Below are 27,529 nucleotides of genomic sequence, written 5' to 3'. Positions count from 1 at the left end.
TTACACGGATAGTAAATGCAGGATTAAAGATTCACGTTCAGGCGATCTGGCTTTAAAGTCCATGCTCTTATTAAGGCTACAGATTGTCTCTGAGTAGCTACTTTTAGCAACTGCTTTCTTGAAAACATTTGTCACTTGATTTTATCTCTAAACAGCAAAGACCCTATATACATCTTTTACTTTTTAAAATATGTTTCTTGGCCGGGTGTGGTGGCTCACACCAGTAATCCCAGCACTTTGCGAGGCCAAGGCAGGTGGGTCACCTGAGGTCAAGTTCGAGACCAGCCTGGCCAACATGGTGAAACCCTGTCTCTACTAAAAATACAAAAATAAGCCAGGTGTGGTGGTGGGCACCTAATCCCAGCTACTCGGGAGGCTGAGGCAAGAGAATTGCTTGAACCCAGGAGGCAGAGGTTGCAGTGAGCCAAGATCACGCCACTGGACTCCAGCCTGGGCGACAGAGCAAGACTCTGGTCCTTTTTTTCATCCTTTTCCTAATCAAGATTTCAACTTTTTGCTAAATGTTTAGGTGCTAGACATGCTGTATTTTTAATTAGCAGAAAGCAGTTAGTGGCTTCATTGCATCTTAAGTGGAAAGGGCCCATTTTTTGTTTGAAGATGATCAATCAAGTGGAGTCATTTTTTATCAAGCGAGGGTTGTCTCAATGTGTTCTTTCCTGGGGGAACAAGGCAGCCAGAGATATAACAGAGAACAATCTTTAGATCAAAATCAATCAGTTTTAAAATGTTTTCCTTGCATCAAGGTGGTTCTCATGGAGTCCTTGTCAACTCCCAAAGTCCACCTAGAGGGCTAAGAACCAGCTGTATTGAAACTGCTCTGTTGGCCCTGTGCTCATTTGATTATAACTGCCAATACTGGCACACACAGCCTGCTTCTATATTCTGAGTTGATGGGCTCTTCAGGAGAGATTGGCTCCCTGCAATGTGGAAATACATGGTTTCACTTCTCAAATAAAGGGAGGAAAACCACAGGTAAGGGACTGTGATTTAATCAAATATATGAATTTATCCTTAGGTTTTCTTTGGCAGTCTTATTTTGGTTTTCTTTCTTTTCTCTTTCTTTCTTTCTTTCTTTCTTTCTTTCTTTCTTTCTTTCTTTCTTTGTTTTCTTTTCTCTTTCTTTCTTTCTCTCTCTTTCTTCTTTTCTTTCTTTTTTTTTTATTTTTATTTAGAGAAGAACCCTACCCTAGTACTCACAATCTTAGATCGATCTTTCTGGCAGAAGTCACTGACAAGATAGTTTTGTTTGTTTGTTTTTAATTTTAGTAGACTTTTTTTTTAAAGAGCACTTTTAGGTTCACAGCAAAATTGAGTAGGAGAAACAAATTCCTCTGAGCGGACACAGTGGAACACGCCTGTAATCCCAGCACTTTGGGAGGCCAACGTGGGCGGATCGCCTGAGATCAAGAGTTCAAGACCAGCCTGGTCAACATGGTGAAACCTCATCTCTACTAAAAATACAAAAATTAGTGAGGCATGGTGGTGGGTGCCTGTAGTCCTAGCTACTCGGGAGGCTGAGGCAGGAGAAACGTTCAAACCTGGGAGGCAGAGGTTGCAGTGTGCCAAGATCGAGCCACTGCACTCGAGTCTGGATGACAGACAGAGATTCTGTCTCAAAAAAAAAAAAAAGCAAAACAAAACCGATTTCTCATATATCCCCTACCCTGACACATGTATAGCCTCTCCCATTATCAACATCCCCCACCAGAGTGGTACATGTGTTAAAATTGATGAACCTATACTGAAACATTCCATAAACCCAAATTCCATAGTTTACATTAATGTTCATGCTTGGTGTTGTGCATTCTATGGGTTTGGATGAATGTATAATGACACATATCCACTGTTATAATATCATAATAGCTTCACTGCCCTAAAAATCCTGTATACTCTCCCTGTTTATCCTTTCCTTCCACCAACCACTGGCAATCACTGATTTTTTTACTGTCTCCATAGTTTTGCCTTTTCTAGAAGGTCATATAGTTGGAATCATACAGTATACAGCCTTTTCCGATTGGTTTCTTTCACTTAGTAATATTTGCATTTAAGTTTCCTCCTTATTTTTTGAGACAGAGTCATGCTCTGTTGCCCAGGCTGGAGTGCATTGGTGCGATTTTGGCTCACTGCAACCTCCGTCTCCCGGGCTCAAGTCATCTTCCCTCCTCAGCCACCAGAATAGCTGGGACCACAGGTGTGCACCACCATGCCTGTGTAATTTTTTTAAAAAAATGTTTATAGAGACAGGATCTTGCTGTTACCTAGACTGGTGTGAAACTCCTAAGCTCAAATGATTTTCCTGCCTCAGCTTCCAAAAATGCTGGGATTACAGGTGTGAGCCACCGTGCCCGGCTTCCTCCATTTCTTTTCATGATTTCTTAGCTTTTTTTTTGTTAGTGCTGAGTAATATTTCATGTCTAGATGCACCACAGTTTGTTTACCCATTCACTTACTGAAAGGGCATCTTAGTTGCTTCCAAGATTTTACAATTATTAATAAAGCTGGTGTAAGCATCCATGTGCAGGTGTTTCTGTGGACATAAGTTTTCAGCTCCTTTGGGTAAATAAATACCAAGATGCACAATTGCTGGATCATATGGTAAGAGCATCGTTAGTTTTGTAAGGAACTGCCAAACTGTTTTAAGTGGCTGAACCATTTTGTACTCCCACTAGCAGTGAATGAGAGTTCCTTTTGCTCCACATTCTCACCAGCATTTGTAGTAGTAGTTGGAATTTTCATCATTCTCATAGATGTGTAGTGGTATCTCATTTTAATTTGCATTTCCCTGATGACAAATGATATGGAGCGTATTTTCATGCGCTTATGTGTTACCCACATACCTTCTTTGGTGAAGTGTCTGTTTCAGGTCTTTGACCCATTTTTTATTTTATATATACATATGTATATATATATATATATATATATATTTTTTTTTTTTTTTTTGAGACAAGATCTTGCTCTGTCACCCATGTTGGAGCACAGTGGCATGGTCATAGCTCATTGCGGCCTTGACTTCCTGGACTCAAGCAATCCTCTCGCCTCAGCCTCCCAAGTGGCTGGGACTACAAGTGTGTACCACCACACCCAGCTAATTTTTGTATTTATTTATTTATTTTTGTAGAGATGGGGTCTCACTGTGTTGCTCATGCTGGTCCTGAACTCTTGGGCTCAAGCAATCTTACCACCTGGGCCTGCTAAAGTCCTGGGATTATGAGCCACCATGCCAGGCCTTTGACCCCCTTTTTTTTTTTTTGAGACGGAGTCTCACTCTGTCGCCCAGGCTGGAGTGCAGGGGCGCGATCTCGGCTTATTGCAAGCTCCGCCTCCTGGGTTCATGCCATTCCCCAAAGTGTTGGGATTACAGGCGTGAGCCACCGTGCCCGGCGTTGACCCATTTTTTAATTGGGTTGTTTGTTTATTAATGTTGAGTTTTTTTGTTTGTTTGTTTGTTTGTTTTGAGATGGAGTCCGGCTCTGTTGCCCAGGCTGGAGTGCAGTGGCACAATATTGGCTCACTGCAACCTCCACCTTCTGGGTTCAAGCAATTTCCTGGCAATTTTTGTATTTTTAGCAGAGACAGGGTTTCACTGTGTTGGCCAGGCTGGTCTTGAACTCCTGATGTCAAGTGATCCACCAAATAAATAAATAAATAATATTTAATTTATTTGAGCACCTGCCCAAAGTGCTAGGATTACAGACGTGAGCCACCGCGCCTGGCCCTAATATTGTTGAGTTTTAAGAGTTCTTTGGATATTCTATATAACTGTCTTTTATCAGATATGTCTTTTGCAAATACTTTCTCTCAGTCTGTGGCTTATCTTCTCATTCCCTTGACAGTATTTTTCACAGAGCAGAAACTTTTAGTTTTAATGAATTCTGGCTTATCAGTTATTTTGGGGAGGGGATAAGGTCTTGCTTTGTCACCCACGCTGGAGTCTAGTGGCGTGATCAGGGCTCACTGCAGACTCAACCTCCCAGGCTCAAGCAATCCTCCAAATTCAGCTTCCCAAATAGCTGGCACTACAAGCACATGCCACCATACCCAGCTAATTTGTTTTTCTTTTTTTTTTTCAGATGGAACCTCACTCCATCACCCAGGCTGGAGTTCAGTGGCGCAGTCTCAGCTCATTGCAACCTCCACCTCCTGGGTTCAAGGAATTCTCCTGCTTCCACCTCCCAAGTAGCTGGGATTACAGGTGCATGCTACTACGCCCGGCTAATTTTTTTTTTTTTTTTTTGAGATGGAGTCTTGCTCTGTTGCCCAGGCTGGAGTGCAGTGGTGTGATCTCGGCTCACTGCAAGCTCCTCTCCCGGGTTCACGCCATTCTCCTGCCTCAGCCTCCCGAGTAGCTGGGACTACAGGCATCCACCACCACACCCGGCTAATTTTTTCTATTTTTAGTAGAGACGGGGTTTCACTGTGTTAGCCAGGATGGTCTCGATCTCCTGACCTTGTGATCTGCCTGCCTTGGCCTCCCAAAGTGCTGGGATTACAGGCGTGAGCCACTGCGCTCGGCCAATTTTTGTTTTTAGTAAGAACAAAACCTTTTTTAGTAGAGTAGGTTTTACCATGTTGACCAGGCTGGTCTCAAACTCCTGACTTCAAGTGATCACCCACCTCGGCCTCCCAAAATGCTCGGATTACAGGTGTGAGCCACTGCACCCGGCCACACCCGGCTAATGTTTTAAAAAATACTTTGTCGAGACAGGGTCTCCTTGTGTTGCCCAGGCTGGTCTTGAACTCCTGGGCTCAAGTTATCCTCCCACCTTGGCCTCCCAAAGTGTTGGGATTACAGGCGTGAGCTACCATGCCTGGCCATTCTTTCTTTCATGGATCATGCCTTTGGTACTGTGTATAAAAAGTCATCCCCAAAGTCAAGGTCTTCTAGATTTTCTCCTGTTATCTTCGAGGAGTTTTATGTTTTACATTTAGGATTGTGATTCATTTTTAGTTCATTTTCATGGAAGATGTCTAGATTCATTTTCTTGCATGTAGATTTTAATTTATTTCAGCATCATTTTTGGAAAAGGTTTTTTTCTTTAAGAGATGGGGTTGGCCAGGCGCGGTGGCTCATGCCTATAATCCCAGCACTTTGGGAGGCCAAGGTGGGTGGATCATGAGGTCAAGAGATTGAGACCATCCTGGCCAACGTGGTGAAACCCCATCTCTACTAAAAATACAAAAAGAAAAAAAAAATTAGCTGGGTATGGTGGCGCGTGCCTGTAATCCCAGCTACTTGGAAGTCTGAGGCAGGAGAATCGCTTGAATCTGGGAGTTGGAGGTTGCAGTAAGCCAAGATCGCGCCACAGCACTCCAGCCTAGGTGACAGAGTGACACTCTGTCTCAAAAAAAAAAAAAAAAAAAAAAAAAAAAGAGATGGGGTCTCCCGGCCTGGCATGGTGGCTCACGCCTGTAATCCCAGCATTTTGGGAGGCCGAGGTGGGCGGATCACTTGAGATCAGGAGTTTGAGACCAGCTTGGCCAACATGGTGAAACCCCGTCTCTACTAAAAATGCAAAATTAGCTAGGCATGGTGGCACATGCCTGTAATCTCAGCTACTTGGGAACCTGAGGCAGGGAAATCATTTGAACCTGGGAGGTGGAGGTTGCAGTCAGCTGACATTGCACCACGCACTCCAGCCTGGGCAGCAGAGTGAGACTCCTTCTCAAAAAAAAAAAAAAAAAAAAAACAGAGATGGGGTCTCCCAGCCTGAGAACATGGTCAACCTCCATCTCTATGAAACAAACAAACAAAAAAACAGAAATTAGCTGAGTGCAGTGGTGTGTGCCTGTAGTCCCAGCTACTTGGAGGCTGAGGTGGAAGGATCCCTTGTGCTCAGGAGGCAGAGATTGTGGTGAACGGGGATCGTGCCACTGCACTCCATCCTAGGTGACAGAGTGAGACTCAGTCTAAAGGAAAAAAAAAAAAAAAAAAAGAGAGATGGGTCTCACTGTGTTTCCCAGGCTGAAATTCAATGGCTGTTCACAAGTGGGATCATTGTGCACTACAGCCTCGAACTCCTGGGCTCAAGCGATCCTCCTGCCTTGCTTCTCATGTAGCTAGGACCACAGGCATACACCACTGAGCCTGGCAAAAGGCTGTCTTTTCTGCATTGCATTACTTTTGCTTCTTTGTCAAAGATCAGTAAAGGCTGGACACAGTGGCTCACGCCTGTAATTCCAACACTTTGAGAGGCTGAGATGGGAGGAACACTTGAGCTCAGGAGTTTGAGACCAGTCTGGACAATATAGTGAGACCCCACCTCTATTAAAAAAAAATGAATGGACTGTATTTGTATGGGTCTATTTCTTGGCTCTCTATTCTGTTCCATTGATTTATTTGTTTATTATTTGCAAATACCACACTGTCTTGATTACTGTAGCTTTTATAGTAAGTCTTGAAGTCAGGTGGTATCAATCTTCTGACTTTGTTCTCCTCCTTCCATGTTTTCTTGGCTATTCTGGGTCTTGTGCTTCTCCACATAAACTGTGGAAACAGTTTGTCGATATTCACAAAATAATTTGCTGGGGTTTTGACTAGGATTGCATTGAATCTGTTGATCAAGTTGGGAAGAACTGACATCTTGACAATATTGAGTCTTCTTATCCTATCCATGAACATGGACTATCTCTTTATTTAGTTCTTTGATTTCTTTCATCATAGTTTTATGGGTTTCCTCATATAGATTTTGTATGTATTTTGTTATATCTAAGTATTTCATTTTTTGGTGCGAATGTATATGTGTTTTAATTTCAAATTATGTGTTTTAATTTCAAATTCTACTTGTTCATTGTTGTATGCTAACCTTGTATCCTGCAATCTTGCTTATTAGCTCTAGGACCAAGACAGGTTATGATTCCATAATCAATTCCTCTCCATTGTTATATGTTCGTCTTTTTTTTTTTTGCTTGTTTTTTAAGAGACAGGGTCTCACTGTCTTGCCCAGGCTGGAGTGCAGTGGCATGGCATGATCATAGGCATGATCACTGCTGCCTTGAACTCCTGGGCACAGGTGATCCTCCCTCCTCTGCCTCCCAAGTAGCTAGGACTACAAGTGCAGACCACCATGCCTGGCTAATTTTTAATTTTTTTGCAGAGAAATGGGGTCTTGCTATGTTGCCCGGGCTGGTCTCAAACTCCTGGCTTCAAGCTATCCTTCTGCTTTGGCTTCCTAAAGCACTGGGATTACAGGTGTGAGCCACTGCGCCTGGCCTCTCATCTTTTAGAAAACTTTTCCTGGTTGGGCATGGTAGCTCATACCTGTAGTCCCAACATTTTGGGAGGCTTAGGCGGGTGGATCGCCTGAGGTGGGGAGTTCGAGACCAGCCTGGCCACTGTGGTGAAACCCTGTCTCTACTAAAAATACAAAAATTAGCTGGGCATGGTGATGCATGTCTGTAATCCCAGCTACTGAGGAGGCTGAGGCAGGAGAATCACTTGAACCTGGGAGGCAGAGGTTGCAGTGAGCCACTACACTCCAGCCTAGGCAACAGAGCGAGACTCTGTCTCAAAAAGAAAAAAAAAGAAAACAAACTTTCCTGAGTTATGTATTTCATAATCCATTTTAGCCAGGCATGGTGGTGTTTGCCTGTAGTGCCTGCTACCCAGGAGGCAGAGGTAGGAGTATTGCTTGAGCCTGGGAGGCAGAGATTGCAGTGAGCTAAAGTCATGCATGCCACTGCAGCCTGGGTAGCAGAGCGAGACCCTGTCTAAAGAAAAAAATAAATAAACAAAACATAATCAATTGTAAACTAATTATTATCTCCATATTTAAGACAGAGAATGCTTTATTATAGTTTCCAACTATAGATATTTACTGAACACCTGTTATGTTCTAGACATTGTTTTATCATACTCTTTCATAAGGCTAAATTATCCCCCAACACCTTTGCTTTGGAGTAAATAATATCAATGATCTTGATATGTTGCCTTATGAGATAAAATAAAAGGGACTAGAGTTACAGTGTGAGCTAATTTTGTAATTTTTAATGTCACCTAACCTCCATGAACTTTGATAAAATGGAAGGATTGCCTTTCAGTTTTAAAATTGTATTTCCTTTCTTTGAATGAAAATCAGATAAATTTGGAATTCCTCAAAGAAACTTGTCTTATAGGCTGGGCGCGGTGGCTCATGCCTGTAATCTCAGCACTTTGGAAGGCCGAGGCAGGTGGATCACGAGGTCAGGAGTTCAAGACCAGCCTGGCCAAGATGGTGAAACCCCATCTCTACTAAAAATAAAATTAGCTGGGCATGGTGGCAGGTACCTGTAATCCCAGCTACTCGGGAGGCTGAAGCAGGAGAATCACTTGAACCCAGGAGGCAGAGGTTGCAGTGGCCGAGATCGTGCCACTGCACTCCAACCTGGGCGACAGAGTGAGACTCCATCTCAAAAAAAGAAAAAAAAAAGAAACTTGTATAAAAATGATAAAAACAGGTAATAGACACAGTTTTAATAATTTGATGGATAAGTTAAGTGTCTGGACTGAAGGGTTTGCTCTTTCTGTCTTAGGTGTAGCCCATCAGTGTTATCATGGTTTCATGAAGGCTGTCCAGGAAGGAAACATTCAGTGGGAGAGCCGTACCTATCCTTATCCTGGAACCCCAATCACTCAGCGCTTCTCGCACAGTAAGTATTTACTGTGAAAGCAGATTCCACCCTGCCTGTGGTCATATTTCCAGAAACTTGTTTGGTGGCATGTTTTTTTGTTTGTTTTTGAGACAAGGTCTCACTCTATCACCCAAGCTGGAGTGCAGTGGCATAATCACAGCTTACTACAGCCTCCACCTCCCCAGGCTCAGGTGATCCTCCCACCTCAGCCTCCTGAGTATGAGGACTACAGGCGTGCCCCATCACACCTGGTTAACTTTTGTATTTTTTGTAGAGATGGGGTTTCACCATGTTGCCCAGTCTAGTCTTGAACTGAGCTCAAGCAATAGGCCTGCCTTGGCCTCCCAGAGTGCTGGGATTACATAACGTGAGCCACGACACCCAGCCAAGGCATGTATTTTATCCGACTTTTAATTATTTATTTATTTATTTTGAAATGGAGTCTCACTCTGTCACCCAGGCTGTGATATGGTGGTGTGATCATGGGTCACTGCAGCCTCGACCTCCTCGGCTCAGGCAGTCCTTCTGCCTCAGCCTCCCGAGTAGCTGGGCCCACAGGTGCATGCCACCACGCCTGGCTAATTTTTAAAAAATTATTTGTAGAGATGGGGTCTCACTGTATTGCCCAGGCTTGTCTTCAACTCCTGGGCTCAAGCGATCCTCCCACCTTGGCCTTCCAAAATGTTGGGATTACAAGTGTGAGCCACTGTGCCTGGCCATTATCTGACTTTTTAATGAAGAGAATGTAAAATGAGAGTTTATATTAATTTTATAACCAGAATTAGGGAAAAGTGTCAGCCTAAATATATTGTAGGCAGTTTGTTAAGAATTTTATATTCTGCTTTTTCTTTTTTTTGAGACAGAGTCTCTGTTGCCCAGGGTGGATTGCAGTGGTGCAATCTTGGCTCACCGCAACCTCCACCTCTTGGGTTCAAATGATTCTCCTGCCTCAGCCTCCTGAGTAGCTGGGACTACTGGTGTGTGCCACCACACCTGGCTAATTTTTGTATTTTTAGTAGAGATAGGGTTTCGCCATGTTGGCCAGGCTGGTCTCGAACTCCTGACCTCAGGTGATCCACCCACCTCGGCCTCCCAAAGTGCTGGGATTACAGGTGTGAGCCACCGCGCCCAGCCCTCTGCTTTTTCATTGGATTTTTCTCTACTCCAGAGTGGTCAAGGTGTTATGCTTAGCGTTTTAAACATCTGACATTATCTAAGAGGAAAACAAAGGAAAGCTGTACATGAGGGTATTTCTAAGATTTTGCTTAGGGAGTAGTCAGATTTTAGTACTAGGTCATATAATGGCTATTTAACATAATACATGTTCAGCAAACACAAAATTTAAATGGACTCCTACAAAAATTTTGAATGTGACAAGTGTCGATTATAAAATTCAAATTTGGGCTGGGTTCAGTGGCTCACGCTTGTAATCCCAGCACTTTGGGAGGCTGAAGTTGGCTGATCACCTGAGGTCAGGAGTTTGAGACCAGCCTGGCCAACATGGTGAAACCCTGTCCACTAAAAATAGAAAAAAAAATTAACCAGCCATGGTGGCACATGCCAGTAATCCCAGCTATTTGGGAGGCTGAGACAGGAGAACTGCTTGAACCTGGGAGGCGGAGGTTGCAGTGAGCCGAGATTGCACCATTGCACTCCAGCCTGGGCAACAAGAGTGAAACTCCATCTCAGAAAAAAAAAAAAAAAAAATACAAATTTGGCTGGGTGCTGTGGCTCACGCCTCTAATCCCAGCACTTTGGGAGGCCAAGGCGGGCGGATCACCTGAGGTCAGGAGTTTGAGAACAGCATAGCCAACATGGTACAACCCCGTCTCTGCTAAAAATATGAACAATTCCATCTTGGCTAACACGGTGAAACCCCGTCTCTTAAAAAAATATATATATAAAAAATTACCCGGGCATGGTGGCGGGCGCCTGTAGTCGCAGCTACTGGGGAGGCTGAAGCAGGAGAATGGCGTGAATCCAGGGGGTGGAGCTGGCAGTGAGCCGAGATCACGCCACTGCACTCTAGCCTCGGTGACAGAGTGAGACTCCGTCTCAAAAATAAATAAAATAAAAATATAAACAATTAGCCAGGTATGGTGGCAGGCACCTGTAATCCCAGCTACTCAGGAGGCTGAGGCAGGAGAATCACTTGAACCCGGGAGGCGGAGGTTGCAGTGAGTCGAGATCATGCCACTGTACTCCAGCCTAGGCAACAAGAGCGAAACTCTGTCTCAAAAAAAAAAAAAAAATTATCTTCTTGCCTTTCTTCTCTCTTCATGTGAACCTGGACTAAAGACCATTAATAACCACCTCTAAAACTGGGGACAGTATCTCCTCCTCCTCTGACATTCGGAAATCTGTAAGAAATCTGTAAAGTCATTGCTTACTGTCATCACTGAAAAGCAGTATAAACATGAAGTAGGCAAGGGGCAGGGATGTGCAGCATCCTGCAGTGCATAGGACAGTCCTACAGATAAAAAGATTATCCTGCCCCAAATGATAAGAGCTCCTGTTGGGAAATACTGCAAGTCTGAAACATGCAACTAGCCTTGCATTCTTCCGTCAGCAAGCTTCAGCGTTAGTGTGCTGCATGTAGGAGTTTTCATTCTGCCTGCCTTTCAAGGACCTGGCTTGCCTTTTCAGCCTGACTCACTGCTGCATCCTTAGGTAGCCAGACTTCAGCCACATGAACCTCCTTGTTATGTCTTAAACTTCCTTATTTGCCCTTCCCTTTTTTTCTTTTTTGAATTAGTTTTTGAAATTTTTAATTGTGTTTTGCCATGTTGTCCAGACTGGTCTCGAACCCCTGAGCTCAAGCAGTGTGCCCGCCAGATATGGTTTGGCTCTGTGTCCCCACCCAAATCTCATCTCCTCCAGTGGTAATCCCCATGTGTCAAGGGAGTGACCTGGTGGGAGGAGACTGGATCATGGGGGCGGTTTCCTCCATGCTGTTCTTGTTATAGTGAAAGAATTTTCATGAGATCTGATGGTTTAAAAGTGGCGGTTTCGGCTGGCCGCAGTGGCTTACGCCTGTAATCCCAGCACTTTGGGAGGCTGAGGAGGGCGGATCACTTGAGGTCAGGAGTTTGAAACCAGCCTGGCCAACATGGTGAAACCCCGTCTCTACTAAAAATACAAAAATTAGCCGGGCCTGGTGGCGGGTGCCTATAGTCCCAGCTACTTGGGAGGCTGAGGCAGGAGAGTTGCTTGAACCCCTGTGGTGCAGGTTGCAGTGAGCTGAGATTGCACCACTGCACTACAGCCTGGGCAACAGAGCGAGACTCCGTTTCAAAAAAGAAAAAAAGGTGGCAGTTTCCCCTGTGCTCTTTCTCCTGCTGCTTTGTAAGAAGTTGCTTGATTCTCCTTTGCCTTCTACCATAAATGTAAGTTTCCTGAGGCCTCTCCAGCCATGTGGAACTGTGAGTCAGTTAAACCTCTTTCCTTTATAAATTACCCAGTCTTGGATAGTTCTTTATAGCAGTGTGAAAATGGACTAATACACTACCTCAGTCTTGCTAAGTGCCTAGATTACAGGCGTTGAGCTACCGCACCCGGCCTGCCCTTCTTAATGGACTGAAAGTGTCCTGTTCTCTAAAAGTCATCTCAAAGATAAAATCAAAAGCCACATTTTTTACCAACTTCTCTCAGATTCCTCGCCGTAGATATTAAGCTCTTTTCTTCCTCTCTGCTTCCCTAATATACTATTCATACCTTCCTCCATTATTTATTACCATCTGTCTTTTGCCATTATTATCTGTGTGAGAGAGGCTGCATGCTAAAAAGGAAAGGCCTTTGGATGTGGGAAGCAAGTTTCTTGGCTTGTCTGACCCACAGTTTCTTTGTCTGAAAAATGGATATGACAAATTCTGTTTGTGCCATAGATTGCTGAGAAATGCATTTAAGAAAACACTTGTAAAAATATGTTTTAAAGTCGAGGCAGGAGAATGACTTGAGCCCAGGTGTTTGAGACCAATTTGGGCAACATCTCTATTTAAAATTAAAATATATGTATATATTTTAAGCTGTAAAAAAGTAGGATGATGATGATGTCTCCCCCACAAGATTGTCGTCTACTTGAAGATAGACAGGCTCCATGTCTTAGACATTCTTGTACCGTTTCTTTTTTTTTTGTTGTTTTTTTTTTTTTGAGATGGGGTCTCACTCTGTCACCCAAGCACCCAGGCTGGAGTGCAGTGGCGCGGTCTTGGCTCACTGCAGCCTCTGCCTCCCAGATTTAAGCTATTCTCTTGCCTCAGCCTCCCAAGTAGCTGGGATTACAGGTGCCTGCCACCACGCGCAGCTAATTTTTGTAGTTTTAGTAGAGACGGGGTTTCGCCCTATTGCCCAGTCTGGTCTCAAACTCCTGGGCTCAAGAAATCTGCCCATCTCAGCCTCCCAAAGTGCTGGGATTGCAGGTGTGAGCCACCGCACCCAGCCTTCTTGTACTGTTTCACAACACCTTGTTCATAGTTGATATCTAATAAATTTGGTATCAATATATTTTGATACCTAATAATTTTTGTGGACTTAAGTGCAACAAAGGTATGCACAGTATAGTATCTTTCCTATGGAAAAGTCTGGGACAAAAAAGTCAGGTGAAGTAAAAAGGCCAATTCTAGGGCCAGGTGCAGAGGCTCACCCCTGTAATCCCAACACTTTGGGAGGCCAAGGCAGGTGGATCACTTCAGGCCAGGAGTTGGAGACCAGCCTGGCCAACATCGTGAAACCCTATCTCCACTAAACATACAAAAATTAGCTGGGCGTGGTGGGCGCACGCCTGTAATCCAGCTACTCGGGAGGCTGAGGCAGGAGAATCGCTTGAACCTGGGAGGCAGAGGTTGCAGTGAGCCAAGATTATGCCACTGCACTCTAGCCTGGGTGACAGAACAACACTCTGTCTCAAAAAAAAAAAAAAAAAAAAAAAGGCCAATTCTAGCTTTTTGGTGAATGTGTGCATAGCTAATCATGCAAGCTTTAATTAATGTAGAATGTCCTTTTCAGATTGATGTAGGGGGTCTCCTGAGTCCCCAACATCATGCATTGAAAAATGTTTCAGTGTTGTAGGTGTCACATATAGTCAGGTAGTTTCATACACAATGCTCATCATGCTCCTGCAGGAGCCAGCAGGCCCAGACTGGATAACCGCCCTTGCTTCTTCATAGTTACGTAATTAGAGACCTTATCAAATATGTTCTGGCTTGTAGGTGTGAGACACATGACAGCATAGTCTCTTTAAGCATGGGATAAATGCCTCAGGATCTTTCCCTGGAGACAGGTGAAGAAACAAAAGAGAATTTGACGTCTGAAAATGCAAAAGCATATCATTCATTTAGTGAGCATTTATTGAATGCTCCATACACCATGGAAAAGATGAAACTACTGGAAGATCTTGCACTTGAGATGATTATAGAATAGTGGAGAAGTATTCAGAACTGTGAAGAACTGTTTGCTTGCTCTGTGTGTAATTAAATTGTGACTATTTGACTTGTATTTTAATAGGGATGATTAGTATGTGTCGTAAACTAAGCCCATTTCAGAAAACTTGAAGAGATTTACCAGTTGGAATAGACACTCTCAGTATTATTTGTTAGCCCAGTATTCATACTGTACTGTGAGCTGTAACTGTATAGCACATTCTAGTGGTCTAGATGTTCTGAAAGGAAAATTTTCTATTTAGGTTGAGAACTTGTGAAAAGGGAAATTACTACTGGAGCACTGGGAGTTGCTCAAATTCTTTTTCCTAAAAGGTTCATTTGAACTTGTTGGGTCTTCCTCCCTGCCCCTGCCCCTCTCAGATCAATCTATAGGTGTCTTAAATAAAAAATAGGCAATAAGTAAAGTTCAGTAGGCTAGGGTGCTTAAAATAGTTGAGTGTGGCCGGGCATGGTGGCTCACGCCTGTAATCCCAGCACTTTGGGAGGCCAAGGCAGGTGAATCACGAGATCAAGAGATTGAGACCATCCTGGCCAACATGGTGAAACTCCATCTCTACCAAAAATACAAATATTAGCTGGGCATGGTAGCGCGTGCCTGTGGTCCAAACTACTCGGGAGGCTGAGGCAGGAAAATCGCTTGAACCCAGGAGGCGGAGGTTGCAGTGAGCCGAGATCGTGCCACTGCACTCCAGCCTGGGTGACAGAGCGAGACTCCATCTCAAAAAAATAATAATAATAATAATTAAGCGTATTATTGATAGTTATTTTCTCATTCCATTATATCTGAGTTCTAAATATAGCTGCCTAAACTGACTCCCTTCCTCTCCCAACTTTGTTGATAATTGACTGCTGGTCACTGAAAATACAGTAGTGTGTGAAACTTGCCATTTTAGTGCCATTAGCTTTGCATACTTTGGGCTGTGCCTTCCTCTTCCAGAAACCTTTGTTTGCTCAAGAGAAGCAGGAAAATGCCAATTGCCCTATTTTAGTGTGGGATTAAAATACATGTGGTAAGGACCTCAGGGCCCCGCTGTTGGCTGGGTTTTCAGTCCAAATAGAGAAGAAAAATGTGGGCTGGGTGCGGTGGCTCGTGCCTGTAATCCCAGCACTTTGGGAGGCCGAGGCGGGCGGATCACGAGGTCAGGAGATCGAGACCAGCCTGGCCAACATGGTGAAACCCCGTCTCTACTAAAAATACAAAAAATTAGCCAGGCATGGTGGCACATGCCTGTAATCCCAGCTACTCGGGAGGCTGAGGAGGAGAATTGCTTGAACCTAGGAGGCAGAGGTTGCAGTGAGCCAAGATTGTACCATTTCACTCCAGCCTGGGTGACAGAGCAAGACTCTGTCTCGAGGAAAAAAAATTAAAAAGGAAAAATGTTTGTTACCTTTTTGAAAAATACAGGCACTGTGTTCTTTTGCTACACTAAGGAAGCAGCTGCCAAGAAGTTATCTGTGAGGAACTGGGAGACGTAACAAACCCTTGACTCTTTTAGTTATGAAATCATGGATTTGTTTTATTAAGCAATGTTATAATGGACACTAGTTAAGGTTTCAGAAGTCATAGGACATTGGCCGGGCGCGGTGGCTCACGCCTATAATCTCAGCACTTTGGGAGGCCGAGGCGAGCGGATCACCTGAGGTCAGGAATTCGAGACCAGCCTGGCCAACATAGTGGAACCCCATATCTACTAAAAATACAAAAACTAGCTGGGCGTGGTGGTGGGCGCCTGTAATTCCAGCTACTTGGGAGGCTGAGGCAGGAGAATCACTTGAACCTAGGAGGCGGAGGTTGCAGTGAGCCAAGATTGTGCCACTGCACTCCAGCCTGGGTGACAGAGTGAGACTCCATCTCAGAAAATAAATAAATAACTCATAGGACATTGCTAATTTCTTTTTCTGGAGGTCTGGAATATCAAGAGGAGAAGAATGTGCTTTTACTGAGCCAACCTGGTACCAGTTGGCTCATTTCAAAATTGCCCCATTTTTTAGGATTACTAGGTCAAGATATGTCTAAGAGGACCAGGATATCTGGAGTTGAGCTCCTTTAGTGGAGATTAAAATGTGGCTCCAGTAATTGTCCTTTTGTTTGTCTAATGTCTTCTAACTTGATCCTTTGTTATTTGTAGTTCTTTGGTGTTTTTGTTTTTGTTTTTTGAGACAGAGTCTTGCTCTATCGCCCAGGCTGGGGTGCAGTGGCGCAATCTCAGCTCGCTGCAACCTCCACCTCCCGGGTTCGAGCGATTCTACTGCCTCAGCCTCCCCAGTAGCTGGGAGTTACAGGTGCATGCCACCATGCCAGACCAATTTTTGTATTTTTAGTAGAGAGGGGTTTCACCATGTTTGCCAGGCTGGACTCGAACTCCTGACCTCAAGTGATCCACCCGCCTCAGCCTCCCAAAGTGCTGGGATTACAGGCATGAGCCACTGTGCCCAGCCTGTTATTTGTAGTTCTTAACAGATCTGACATGTGAGCCATGGATTCATTGGACTTGACTTTTTTTTTTTTTTTTTTTGAGATGGAGTCTCACTCTGTCGCCCAGGCTGGAGTGCGGTGGCGGGATCTTGGCTCACTGCAAGCTCCGCCTCCCGGGTTCATGCCAGTCTCTTGCCTCAGCCTCCTGAGTAACTGGAACTACAGGCGCCTGCCACCACGCCCGGCTAATTTTTTTTTTTGTATGTTTAGTAGAGATGGGGTTTCCACTGTGTTAGCCAGGATGGTCTCGATCTGCTGACTTCATGATCTGCCTGCCTCGGCCTCCCAAAGTGCTGGGATTACTGGCGTGAGCCACCACGCCCGGCCTGGACTTGACTTCTTAGTAGAGTTCTGGGGATACCATAAATATTTTGCAGGTGTGAGCCTATTGATGGCTAGATGGTATTTTATTTCTTCAGATCTGTTTTGTCTAATTTCTTTGGTAATTTTAAAAGCCTGCAGCTCCATTATTCCACAGTGTCAGAGGTCAGATAATTTGGATTTAACCCTTCCACTGACTGAGATTATGGGGTTTAAGGCACTAAACATACTGCTTTCATTACCTCTTAACTTGCTCAGTTTTCTGACTTGGCCTTCTTACCGTAGAGAGTCCCAGGGGTCTAACAGGAGGGCTGAATTAAGGGAAAATAAAAGAAGGTGGGGGGCTGGGCGCATTGGCTCTCACCTATAATCCCAACACTTTGGGAGGCTGAGGCGGGTGGATCACCTGAGGTCAGGAGTTCGAGACCAGCTTGGCCAACACGGTGAAACCCTGTCTTCACTAAAATACAAAAATTAACTGGGTGTGGTGGTGTGTGCTTGTAATCCCAGTTACACCTACTCGGGAGACTGAGGCAGAAGAATTGCTTGAAGCTGGCAGGTGGAGGTTGCAGTGAGCCAAGATTGTGGCACTGGACTCCAGCCTCGGCCACACAGCAAGACTCTGTCTCAAAAAAAACAAAAAGCGGGGGGTGGGGGGTGCGGGGGAGGGGGGAGTTTATTCCCAGAGCTAGTATAGTGTGTATCACAGAGGTGATTATAGTAGTGGCATTGGATGAGTCAACAGTAGTAGCATTTCCCTTTTTCTGAACTCGGGTAACTAGTGCCAGAGTTCAGAAGAGACCTTAAAAATATTGGTGTGCTAAACTGAATTAGACCTACAAATATGCTAGATGATCATTAAAGCCATGCACAGGGCAATGAATCTGTGAATTTCTTGTTGGTGTTTTTTGTTTTTGTTTTTTTTTTTTTTTTTTTGAGATGGAGTCTTGCTCTGTCGTCCAGGCTGGAGTGCAGTGGCGCAATCTTGGCTCACTGCAACCTCCGCCTCCCGGGTTCAAGCGATTCTCCTGCCTCAGCCTCCTGAGTAGCTGGGATTACAGGCATGCGCCACCACGCCTGGCTAATTTTTTTATTTTTAGTAGAGACGGGGTTTTGCCATGTTGGCCAGGCTGGTCTCGAACTCCTGACCTCATGATCCGCCTGCCTCAGCCTCCCAAAGTGTTGGGATTACAGGCATGAGCCACTGCACCTGGCCTGAATCTGTGAATTTCTTTTTCCTTTCCCCTTCCTTTTATATGACACTGAACCGTTAGTTTCACATGAACATTGAGAAGTCTTTTTTGTTTACTTAATTTTATTTTATTTTATTTTTACCTCCTGCGTGCATGAAATGGATGGCAAGGAAAGCTTTGCTTGGGCCTCTTCCTGAAATCCAAGATGGCAAATGCAAGACTGTAAGGAATGTGATCGTCATTTCCAAAGGATAGAGACCGCAAGGGGCAGAACTTAGCACTCATGCATCTTTTCTAGACTCTGGCTTTGGTCTTTGTAGTTTTTGGGTAACAGCCCTTCTGATAGTCATTGCCTCTTTTTCTTAGGAATGCCTGGTGATGTGTATACAATCATCTAATCAAAGAAGGCTTTTTTTAGAGATCCTGGTGTTTTTTAAATGTTACCGTTCTGTTTTCTAGTCGGCTCCAACCAGCATGCCTTGGTAGCTCTTGGATACATATTGGGACTTAATGATTTCCATGCTTTTTCAATCTGTTGCTTTGGGACTAGTCCAAGACCATACTACTATTGAGTTTCCCCCACTGGCCTTTGGAATTAATAAAAACTGTATTTCTTCAATCACATTGGACTTTATGTGTGGTTACTTCATAGTATTGATTAAAATCATTTCATTGTGTGTCATATAAAGATTCATTTATTGGCCGGGCATGGTGGCTCATGCCTGTAATCCCAGCACTTTGAGAGGCCGAGGCGGGTGGATCACCTGAGGTCAGGAGTTCGAGATTAGCCTGGCCAACATGGTGAAACTCCATCTCTACTAAAAATACAAAAAAATTAGCTGGGTGTGGTGGTGCACACCTGTAATCCCAGCTACTTGGGAGGCTGAGGCAGGAGAATCGCTTGCACCTGGGAGGCAGATGTTGCAGTGAGCCGAGATCATGCCACTGCACTCCAGCCTGGCTGACAGAGGGAGACTCCATCTCAAAAAAAGAAAGAAAGAAAAAAAAAAGATTCATTTATTGATTTGTGCTTCAGGTTTAATTTGAAAACAAAAACAATAGGAGAATTGGAGGAAAGGAATGGGAGGACAGAGTACATGTGTTGGCATACCTTTGCTTAGCTCTAGAGGATAATGATGCAGATTTAGATCAATTATGTAGCTGTGCTGAAATTTCCCTCATTTGAGCACCTTTAATGTGAATTATTATGTGTTCTTGCTGGACTTACACTGTTACATCATTGTCAACTTGCTTAGTGTGCTCAGAAATAAAATTTTCATAGCTTTCCTCTGGACCTTGTTTTAAAGGGTAATATATTGATCCACTTGGAGACAAGAGGCTGGTAATAGAAATTTGGTACTTGGTAACAAAATTGCTGAATGTGTGAAATAAGCTTTGAAAAATATATGTTATGGTTAAAATGTTGGAAGGGCCTCAGAATTTTCACAGCAGTTATTTGTGTATTTTCTTTCTAGGTGCATGCTATTATGATGCTAATCAGTCTATGTATGTGTTTGGAGGCTGTACCCAGAGCAGCTGCAATGCTGCTTTCAATGACCTCTGGAGACTTGACCTAAACAGCAAAGAGTGGATCCGACCTTTGGCTTCAGGTAAGAGATGAAATGCTGATCTTTGCCTCCTTACCAGGTGACTCCCTTGGCATGGAAACTCTACCTGATCATTTTTGGTGTTGGTCTCAAGGATGGGTTACTGGGACTCAGGTCCTTAAGTTTAATGTGCCATGTAAATGATAATAGTAATATGCTTGTGTAAGTCTTTGTTTTTTGTTAAATTATACTTTATCATTAGTAATGGTGCCCTGCCAAAATTGCTGTACTGCTGTGTGAATTCATTTGCATGGTTTTCTCAAGTATACTCATACAGGTGTGATACATCATTTGGTAGGAGGTTGAAGTAAGAACAGAAACACAGAGTCGTGAGAACTGTAGTTGACTGACAGAAGCTATTGTCCTAGGGCTAAGGTCTCTGAATATCTGTTGTTGTTGCCAGCTCAGATATTTGGGGAGTGTATGGGACGTGCCTCTGCTAGTTACTCTTAACAACCCAGGGGTGTGGGAAGATTCTACAGTAGGTACATTCCTACCCAGTCCCACTATGCCAGAAATCTGGCAGAAAGAAACTAGATTATTTTCTTATTTTTGACCTAACCTCTCCTGGGGGAAAAAATAAAAACAATGGTTTTTGCACTCATGAGGCAGGGCAATTTGAGGAGGCATAGATTGGAGGGGTTGGTGTGATGGAGAAATAGTGTCCACTGAGTATAAAGTATTCTGCTAGATTTTTTGGCAAGCTTTTCCCAAAACATTCATTTGGCTTTTTAGTATTAGGACTCAGTCTTAGGACTAAGGACATTTGGGTTTCCATTGGGCAAGTTCCTTATTTATTTAGGCCTTGCCTTACTACTTTGATTACCAGATAGGAGGCATCATTGTATATTAGAAAGGGCACTGGACTAAGAGTGAGGGGACATGAGTTTCATTTCCTGGCATAGTCACCAATTCTCCATGTAACTATAAATAAGTTATTGCACTTCTCTGGGAGAAATGTGGAGTAGTACTAAATGACTATTTTTAAATGGGCTAAAAAGGCTAGTTTATGTTTCCCTTTCTATAACCGCTACTGTGAATGTCTAGGCCAGGGACTTAAACCTGTTTATGAGAAGAAGCTGCATTTTGCTTCCCTAAAACTTAAGTTCCTGTTCTTTCCACCTACATTAGGCAAATATAGGAGGAGCCTACTGAGTGGATACCATGGGTGGAGCTGGGCTTTGTGTAGATGAAGTTCTTTATTAAAATTATTGGCATTTGGAGGGTAGGAGGGTGGTGGTCCAGTCTGCAGATGGCCACACCAGGAGGAGGAGCTATTATATCCCCTTCTCTTCCACTTCCTGTCACAACCAATAAAGGCCGTTTGTGCCATTCATAAAAAACAAAAACAAAAACAAACCTACAAGCCAGGCCCACTGGCTCACGCCTGTAATCCCAGCACTTTGGGAGGCCAAGGCGGGCGGATCACCTGAGGTCAGGAGTTCGAGACCAGCCTGGCCAACATGATGAAACCCTGTCTCTCCTAAAAATACAAAAATTAGCTGGGCATGGTGATGGGTACCTGTAATCCCACCTACTTGGGAGGCTGAGGCAGGAGAATCTCATGAACCCAGGAGGTGGAGGTTGCACTCCATCCTGGGCAACAGAGCAAGTCTCCACAAAAACTATTGGAATAATAAAGAAATGGTAATCATATAAAAAGTTTGATAGCTAGAACTATTTCAGGGCCCTGAGAATTTTGTACTTTGGAGAATAACCTTTTCTAGCCCTTTATACCATATTGCACTTAGTGCAAATTGATTAATATTTGGAGTTACAGCTTCTGTTTTGTTTTGTATTGTTTTTTGAGACAAGATCTTGCTTTGTCACCCAGGCTGGAGTACAGTAGCACAGTCACAGCTTACTGCAGTCTCAGCTGAGTTATGGATTCTAAAATATAGAAGATCTTCTCAGCTTAAGCATCCTATTGCCACCATGCTTGGGATCTTGTACAGGTCTTATTTCAGAGGAGCTTTGATAGTTTCAGTCACAAAATACTATTACTGTCTTTATTTTGTAAACAAGCTTTATGCCTTTGATAATTTAGCATGGGTGGTGCTCTTTCTTGTTAAAATGGAGCTCTGGTTTGGGGACCTTCATAGCCTCTGCCAACTACTGTGCTTATTTCTCCCTGTAATATGGAGTAAGACTTTTTTTTTTTAAACCATCAAGTTTAAAGACTGCTTTGTGGCTAGGCGAAGTGGCTCACGCCTATAACCCCAGCACTTTAGGAGGCCAAGGCAGAAGGATCCCTTGAGGCCAGGAGTTTGAGACTCACCTGGGCAACATGGTGAGACCCCCATCTCTACAAAAAATAAAAACAAAAAATTAGCCAGGCATGGTGGCATGCCTCCATAGTCCCAGATACTTGGGAGGGTGAGACAGGAGGATTGCTTGAGCCCACAGATATAAGCCCAGACGCCTAGGCGAGAGTGAGACTGTGTCTCAAAAAAAGAAACAAAGAAAGAGAAAGAGAGGAAGGGAAGAAAAGAGGAAGGCAGGAAGGGAGGGAGGGAAGCCAAAGAAAAGGTTATGCTTTGAAATTCCCAAAGTAGAAATATTGGAGAAATAACTGCTTCAATCATTTACATTCTCTATGGAATATGAATTTTTAAAAATAGAGCATTTGGAATATTCCCTTTGACAAAACATACAAACTCCTGAATGTTTAAAGTAATTTTCTAACAAAATGTCTCAAAGAATCTAGTTACTCCCTCATCCTAATCTGCAATTAGAGGCTAGTTTTAGAAGGAGGAAAACCTGAGCTTTTTGAAATGTCTACTTATAAAAAACAATTGTTTAATAAAGAGTCCTGGCTGGGCACAGTGGCTCACTCCTCTAATCCCAGCACTTTAGGAGGCTGAGACAGGAGGATCTCTTGAGGCCAGGAATTTGAGACCAGCCTGGGTAACATAGTGAGACCCTGTCTCTACAAAACAATTAAAAATGAGCCGGGCATGATGGCATGTGCCTGTAGTCCTAGCTACTTGAGAGGTTGAGGTGGGAGGATTGCTTGAGCCCAGGAGTTCAAGGCTACAGTGAGTGATGATTGCTCCACTGCACTCTAGCCTGAGTGAAAGAGGGAGACCCTGTCTCAAAAAATAGCCTGGGCTTGGTGGCTCTCGCTTACAATCCTGGCACTTCGAGAGGCTGAGGTGAGAGGATCACTTGAGGCCAGGAGTTCCAGACGAGCCTGGCCAACATAGCGAAACCCCATCTCTACTAAAAAGACAAAAAATTAGCAGGGCATGGTGGCATGTGCCTGTAACCTCAGCTACTCAGGAGGTTGAAGCATGAGAATCACTTGAGCCCAGGAGGCAGAGGTTGCAGTGAGCCAAGATTGCGCCACAGCACCCCAGCCTGGGTGGCGGAGTGAGACTGTCTCAAAATAAAATAATAAATTAAAAAAAAAAAAGTCCCATGAGATTCTCATTTAGGCAGAAACCCCATGTAAGATGCCCTAAGACAATGTTTCTGTATGCTATCATGAGTCCTAATCAAAATCACTTCCTAACTGAAATGTCAATTAGTCCTTCTGAATAAAACATAGTTGTTTATAAGTCTTGGTGTACCTGACTCACTCATTTTAGTGCATCGAGGTAGGTAGATTGGAGGGTGACTGAGGGGAGGGCACTGTCAGTTGTGAGGTTGTCTTCTAACAGAGTATGTACAGGAAGGTAATAGTTGCTTTAACAGTGTTCAGACTTCAAAAGTGTAGCTGTTGGAGAAGTAAGAGCATCAAGCAAGGAGTGGAACACTTTTGGTTGGGAGTGGAGAGTCTTGATAGAGAATACTGCTGCATCAGATGTCTTTTTACATGTGTATTTGGTTATGTGGTTATGAGATTAGAGCATTCTCCTATTGGTTGGTGTCTTAGTCAGCTCAGGGTGCCATACAAAATACCATAGACTGGGTAGCTTAAACAGCAGAAATGTATTTCTCACAGTTCTAGAGGCTGGAAATTCAAGATGAGAATCTGGCATCGTTGGCTTCTAGTGAGGATTCTCTTCCCAGCTCCTGGTTTGCAGACTGCCACCTTCTCAGTGTGTTTTCATGTAGCAGAGAGTGAGCTCTGGCATCTCTTGTGCTTCTTTTTTTTTTTTTGTCACTCTGTCACCCAGGTTGGAGTGCAGTGGTGCGATCTTGGTTCACTGCAACCTCTGCCTCCTGGGTTGGAGCAATTCTCCTGCCTCAGCCTCCCGAGTAGCTGGAATTATAGGTGTGTGCCACCATGCCTGGCTAATTTTTGTATTTTTAGTAGAGACGGAGTTTCACCATGTTGGCCAGGCTGGTCTTGAACTCCTGACCTCAGGTGATCCACCCACCTCAGCCTCCCAGAGTGCTGAGATTACAGGCATGAGCCACTGTGCCCAGCTTCTTGTGCTTCTTATAAGGGGATTCATCTTATGAGGGCTACCCTCATGACCTCATCTAAACCTCATTGTCTTCCAAAGGCTTCATCTCCACCATAGCATCACCTTGGCGTTAGGGCTTCACCATATGGATTTGGTGGAGGACACAATTCCATCTATACCAGTTGGAATTAATGTAATTTCCCAGTGAAATCTTGTCTTTAGTTCCTTTCAAAATGATAGAAGTGCTCCATCTGGAGGAAGAGTGGTATTGGAGGTAGAGTGGTGACGAGTGTTGGGATGACAGATCTTACACTAAAAGAGACCCACAGCTAGTACTTCTCAGACATTTCCAACAAGGTAACACCTCCTCCCATTTACACCTGCTTTTGTGGCCCCTGCCCTCATGGAGCTTATATTGTAACGGGAAAGAAACAAGAAGCAAGTAAGCAAATTGTTATAAATTATGAAGGAAACAAACGGAATGAAGTATAGAATAAGGGGAGAGCTCCTTTTTTTGAGACAAGGTCTTACTCTGTCATCCAGGCTGGAGTGCAATGGCACAGTCACAGCTCCCTGTAGCCTCGACCTCCTGCCTTAGCCTCCTGAGTAGCTGCGAATACAAACGTGCACCACCATGCCTGGCTAATTTTTGTATTGTTTTGTAGAGATGGGGTCTCACTATGTTGCCCATGCTGTTAGGGGAGACCTACTTTAAACAGGAGACTTTTTGTTTGTTTGTTTTTGTTGTTGTTGTTTGTTTGTTTTTGGCTGAGACCTAAAGAATGATAGTGGAGGGAAGTGAGAATGGCATGTGCCTGGTGCAGCAAAGAAAAGGACATGTTAGAGGAGCTTAAAGCAGACCTTTGTGGATGTAGCCTAAGGAGCAGGGGAGAGAGTGGCACAGGGGGAGTTGAGATAAAGACAGGAGCAAGCTTATTCACAGACTAAGGTGGGGACTCAGAAACCTTTGAGATTTTAATGAGAGGAATGTCATCATCTGGATTACTTTTTTTTTTTTTTTTAAAGAGACAATCTTGCTCCCTTGCCAAAGCTGGAGTGCAGTGGCACAATCATAATTAATTGACTATAGCCTCAAACCCCTGGGTTCAAGTGATCCTCCCACCTCGGCCTCCTGCATAGCTGGAGCCACAGGTTTGCACCCCCACATCGGGACATTTTCTTTTCTTTCTTTTTTTTTTGTAGAACTAGGGTGTCACTATGTTGCCTGGGCTGGTCTTCAACTCCTAGCCTCAAATGATCCTCCTGCCTTGGCCTCCCAAAGTGCTGGATTACAGGCATGAGCCACTGCCCTTCCCTGCCTCAATTTACATTTTAGAGCACATTTTGCTTCTATTTAGGAAATGAAGGAAGGCAAGAAAGTAAACCAGACTAGACAGAAGGCCATCAATATTGACAAGACTCAGATGAGCATATATCAGTAAGAAACTGACAAAACTTTTTTTTTTTTTTTTTGAGACATAGTCTCACTCTATCACCCAGGCTGGAGTATGATGGTGCAATCTCAGCTCACTACAGCCTCTGCCTCCCGGGTTCAAGCAATTCTTGTGTTTCAGCCTCCCAGGCAGCTGGGATTACAGCAGTGTGCCACCACACCAGGCTAATTTTTGTATATTTAGTAGAGGTGGAGTTTCACCATACTGCCCAGGCTGGTCTGGAACCCTTGACCTCAAGTGATCCGCCCACCTTGGCCTCCCAAAGTGCTGGGATTACAGGCATGAGCCACTGCGCCCGGCCAAGACTTCTTAATGAATTAGATTTAGGAGCATGAGAAGGCCAATCAAGGGTGACTTATGTTTCAGGTTTATACAGCTACGTTGATGGTGGGGCCATTTGCTGAAGTGGAAAATAAATATTTGGGAGAGGTTAGTTTTTGGTTCCTATTAAATGTTTAAGTAGTAGTATCTAGTAATTCATTGTTATGAGAGTTTGACATTTGTTTATTATTATTATTATTATTTTTATTTTTATTTTTATTTTTTTTGAGATGGAGTCTCGCTCTGTCACCAGGCTGGAGTGCAGTGGTGCGATCTGGGCTCATTGCAACCTCCACCTCCCGGGTTCAAGTGATTCTTCTGCCTCAGCCTCCCCAGTAGCTGGGGTTACAGGCATGTGCCACCATGCCCAGCTAATTTTTGTATTTTTGGTAGAGATGGGGTTTCACCATGTTGGCCAGAATGGTCTCGATCTCTTGACCTCGTGATCCGTCTGCCTCGGCCTCCTGGGATTACACGCTTGAGCCACTGCACCCGGCCTATTATTATTGTTTGTTTGAGACAGAGTTTCACTCTTGTTTCCCAGGCTGGAGTGCAATGGCATGATCTCGGCTCACTCCATCTCCTGGGTTCAAGTGGTTCTCCTGCTTCAGCCTCCCAAGTAGCTGAGATTACAGGCGCCCACCACCACACCCAGCTAATTTTTTGTATTTTTAGTAGAGACAGGGTTTCATCACGTTGGCCAGGCTATTTTTAATAGAGACAGGGTTTCATCACGTTGTATTTTTAGTAGAGACAGGGTTTCATCACCTGAGGTTAATCCTGACCTCAGGCGATCCACCCGCCCCGGCTTCCCAAAGTGCTGGGATTACAGGCATGAGCCACTGTGCCTGGCCGAGAGTTTGACACTGAAAACAAAGGGCCTGACTTCCCTTAAATGACAGCACAGGCCAGGCACAGTGGCTCACACCTGTAATCCTAGCACTTCAGGAGGCTGAGTGGGAGGATGGCTTGAGGCCAGGCCACTCTGAGGCCAGGATGGCTTGAGTTCAAGACCAGCCTGAGCAACATAGCAAGAGCCCATCTCTACAAAAATAATAAAAAATAAATGACTCTACAGTCCTTCTGTTCAGTTAAATTCTTCTCTCATCCTTCACTTGTTCATGTAACAAATATTCATGGATTGCCCCCCTGGTATTGTTCTATATGCCAGGGACACATGAGTCAATAACTGACAAACATCTCAGCCCTAATGAGACTACATTCAAATGAAGGAAGACAGATACTAAAAATGACAAATATATAACAGTATGTTAGAGGATGGAAAGTGCTATTGAGAAACTACAGTATGGCTAGGAGGATTATAACTAGGAGAATCAGAGAGAAGGCGACATTAGAACAAGGACTTGATGGGTACAAGAAGTGAGCCATGTGGGTATCTGAGAAACGAATGTTTCAAACAGAGAATAATCAGTGCAAAGACCCAGAGTTGGGAGTGTGCTTGATATAGTCAAGGGATACTGAGGAATCCATTGTGACTGGAGCAGAGTGAACAAAGGAGAGGAGGTTGGACAGAAAATGAAAGGGATGTATCACATATGTGTGGCTTTCTGGCTGTTGTAAGGACATTGTCATATTCACTGAATAGAATGGCTAGTTGTGTAGGTTTCTGAGAAGAGGGCAAGTATGGAAGCAAGGAGACCAGTTAAAAGGTGGTAGCATAATCTAGGCTGAAAATGATAGGCACTTGGAGTAAAGTATTCACAAAAGGTAAGAAC

At 44.0% G+C, this 27,529-nt stretch overlaps 1 protein-coding gene across 5 annotated transcripts in view; it reads left to right on the top strand.

The window, feature by feature from the left end:
- Positions 1-27,529, top strand: part of FBXO42 (F-box protein 42) — a 105,641-nt gene that overhangs the window by 38,032 nt on the left and 40,080 nt on the right. For all 5 annotated transcript variants that reach the window (NM_018994.3, XM_047422747.1, XM_047422750.1 and 2 more), the window contains 2 exons: positions 8,530-8,646; positions 19,532-19,666. In NM_018994.3, coding sequence (NP_061867.1) covers positions 8,530-8,646; positions 19,532-19,666 — 252 coding nt within the window. The remainder of the gene's footprint in view (positions 1-8,529; positions 8,647-19,531; positions 19,667-27,529) is intronic.

The sequence above is a fragment of the Homo sapiens genome, chromosome 1, assembly GCF_000001405.40.
Source record: "Homo sapiens chromosome 1, GRCh38.p14 Primary Assembly".
NCBI lineage: Eukaryota > Metazoa > Chordata > Mammalia > Primates > Hominidae > Homo > Homo sapiens.
This window is presented reverse-complemented; position numbering and strand designations above follow the sequence as displayed.